This window comes from Homo sapiens, chromosome 12 (assembly GCF_000001405.40).
Source record: "Homo sapiens chromosome 12, GRCh38.p14 Primary Assembly".
In the NCBI taxonomy this organism is placed as follows: domain Eukaryota; kingdom Metazoa; phylum Chordata; class Mammalia; order Primates; family Hominidae; genus Homo; species Homo sapiens.
Window position 1 is genome coordinate 63417770 of NC_000012.12, and position 3021 is coordinate 63420790.

The 3021-nt window shown below is 38.6% G+C and overlaps 3 annotated features.

Moving 5' to 3' along the window:
• Positions 735–1934: an enhancer, noted in NCBI's record as "CDK7 strongly-dependent group 2 enhancer chr12:63812284-63813483 (GRCh37/hg19 assembly coordinates)". NCBI's record gives its function as "activates an origin of replication core promoter dependent on BRD2, BRD4, P300/CBP, MED14 and CDK7 cofactors, with strong dependence on CDK7, by STARR-seq in HCT116 cells {active_cell/tissue: HCT116}" and the evidence as "EXISTENCE:reporter gene assay evidence [ECO:0000049][PMID:35650434]".
• Positions 2459–2508: a silencer, noted in NCBI's record as "silent region_4612". NCBI's record gives its function as "represses an Ori minimal core promoter by ATAC-STARR-seq in GM12878 lymphoblastoid cells {active_cell/tissue: GM12878}" and the evidence as "EXISTENCE:reporter gene assay evidence [ECO:0000049][PMID:35858748]".
• Positions 2569–2628: a silencer, noted in NCBI's record as "silent region_4613". NCBI's record gives its function as "represses an Ori minimal core promoter by ATAC-STARR-seq in GM12878 lymphoblastoid cells {active_cell/tissue: GM12878}" and the evidence as "EXISTENCE:reporter gene assay evidence [ECO:0000049][PMID:35858748]".

Below are 3021 nucleotides of genomic sequence, written 5' to 3' on the forward strand. Positions count from 1 at the left end.
ACCCCAAGGGTTTACAGAATCTCCAAATTTATTTAGTCAAATATTAGAACAAGTCATTTAATTGCAAAGACAAACAGAGAATTGAGCTTAAGAGATTGAAGGTATCATATCCTTGCCTCTGCCGGAGACAAACAAGAACTTCGAAAATTTTAGGATTGGTCGGGTACTGTTGTCTATGGATAGACTCTTATATCCTAAAAACAAAACCCTTATATAAAAAAAGCTCACGCAAGACGAGCCAAACCCCCTCATTTGGCAATTACCAGAAAGCCAATAGGTGGAAAGATTAAAACATCTGTTAGTAACTGCCCGTGTCCTAGCTTTACCCTCCTTAAGCAGCCATTCTATTTTTTGGTCAGTGTAAACAAGGGCATAGCCTTAGATGTACATGCCCAAAAGCACGGAGGCCACTGACAACCCATAGCCTTCCTATAAAAATCCTTCATCCAGTAACCCACAGATTTGCCCAAATGCATTCAATCTGTAGTGAATTTGCTAACAGAAGAAAGTAGAAAAATAACTTTTAGAGGAAACCTCATTGTGAGCACACCTCACCAGGTCAGAACTATCCTAAGTCAAAAAAGCAAAAAGGTAGCTTACTGACTCAAGAATCTCAAAGTATGAGGCTATTCTGTTATGAAAAGATGATATAACATTAACAACTGATAATTCACTTAACCCGGCAGGTTTCCTAATAGCAGATCTAAATCTAAAGAGAGAGCACACATGAAGATGTATGGTTATCCTTTCATGCTCCTATAAAGTAATCTAGAATGAATGGAGTCAGGAGTCATGGATTCTAATATGGACTCATAAGTAAGCTATATCCTTAAAACCTGAATCAGAAAGAAATTTTGTAAGAGATATATACTCTAGAGCATAAGGAATTTCTTTTTTCTAAAACTTATTTAGAAATGTTGGCTTTCCCTGCACTTCAAGGTGCCTGTGTAGAGCTATGAAGGCATCCAGAAAGGAACATTCAATGAGATGGATCAACAAGGTTGTGAAATGAAAAAAAAAAATAATCTCCTTAGCTCAGACTTAAGCCCTGACCAGCACAGGGGAGAAAGAAGTAAGTTTCCCTCTACTCTTCATATTTCTTAATTGGGACAGATCCTTATAACCAAAGACAAATTAACAAGAGGAAAAAAAGTTTATTATCTTATATATCTCATGTATACACGGGAGATAAAGAAATGAGAAAATCTCAAAAAGGTGGCTTTGAATTCAGCCTTAAATACCATCTTTAGCTGAAAGAAAGGTGTTTATGGTACTAGTTATGGGGAGGTGACCAGGAAAAGCAGAGTAAACCAATGTAAGTTTTGTTAGTGTTAGATATGAGTTCTAAATTTCTCTTCAAGGAATCAATATGTCAGTATGTTCAATTATTTGTCTTCTACTTTTAAACTTAACTTCCTCATAAAGCAACCTTTTTCGATGACCTGCTCCACCCTAACTCATTCCCATTACCAGTTCCACCCCGACTCATTCCAATTCCCTGCTCCACTCTGACTCATTCCGATTACCTGCTCCACTCTGACTCATTCTGATTGCCTACTCCACCCTGACTCATTCCAATTACCTGCTCATTCTCCGCCCAGACTCATTCTGATTTCCTGCTCTGCCATAACCATTTTTCCCGCCAAACAACTTACCCAGTCACTCTCTTTAAATTAGCCAGTCGGAATTAGTTTAGCCTCTGCGGTCTAACCCTAGCCAATAGAGGAACAACACAGCAGCAGGGGCCATGTGTGTCAGGGATAAGAACCCCTTCCCCTCCCTTGTCCAAGTGTGCGCTCACCATTGCTCCATCTGTAAGGGCGCACCCTTCTATAGAAGCACATTGCCTTGCTGAGAATTAAAAAGAAAATTTTATATTTGAGTGCATTTCTTTTGTGGCACTGAAACTTTATTTATTACATTGGGCAGATTTAAGTCAGTGCCTTCTTCATAGGTAAGAATGTCTAGTGATTTAGAGCCATCTTTCTCTTGCTAGTGCAAAGAGGAAACTCCCTTACAAATGGAGATTTCCCTTATAGATGTAAATTTCTCTTACAAATGGTAACTTCTGCTCTGTTTTTAAGCTTCTCCTGTGTCTATAGTTTCTCCAAAGAATTAACTCAAAATAATTCTTAAGCCAAAGAAGCATATTTTGGGGTGGCATATTCTGGTCTCCAACACTAAGACCCACTTTCTGATAATAATAAGAGATAATTTCTTATTAAACATACTTTAGGTCAATGTTTAGAGGTCTTTTGAGAGCCATGGAAAGGATACACATATTAAAGTTTCTGAGAAGGCTTAACTTTAAGTAACCTATTTTACTTTATTTTTTAAAAGCTGCTTTTGAGTATGATTAGTCTTCTTGACATCAATTCCTTAAGATAAAGGAGCTTCCCAAATGGTGTAGTTTCCCCAATAATCAGGAGTGGCTCAGATATCAATCAAGATCAAGACATTTTTTAAAAAACATTTTCATTCACGTAGGGGGTTCTAGAAATCTGCGGGCTGGGCTGATCAAGAAAAAACATGTGACCACGAGGTGGCAGTAGCACACACATCTTTACTGAGCAGCACTTCACTTTGACGGATTTACATGGTGAGGAAGTCCCTCACAGCAGGAGTCTATCTGGAGGCTACAGCTTGATAACTACTCACAAAGGGAGGAGAGCAAGGGAACTCTAGAGGAAGAGGGAAATTAAATAGGTGGTTATGTGTCTAGGCAATGTCAGCAGCACAACAGGGACTCTCCAAATACAGAGTTCCAAAGGGACTGTAGCTTACGGTCTTTATGGCTCCAGGCTTATCTTACAATTTGCTAGCAGACATTGGGCACAGTTTCACAGAATATTCGAAACAGGCAGGCTCTAAATGGCTAAAAATGTGCTATTTGGTGTTTGTTTCAAACAGTTGGATGTGTAAATATTAGAATTTGCTCTGCTGCTCAGCCTGCACTAAAGAAATATTAAATAGCCAAGTGATCAATATACAGAAGCTATCTGTCTTAGTCTATTTGTGCTG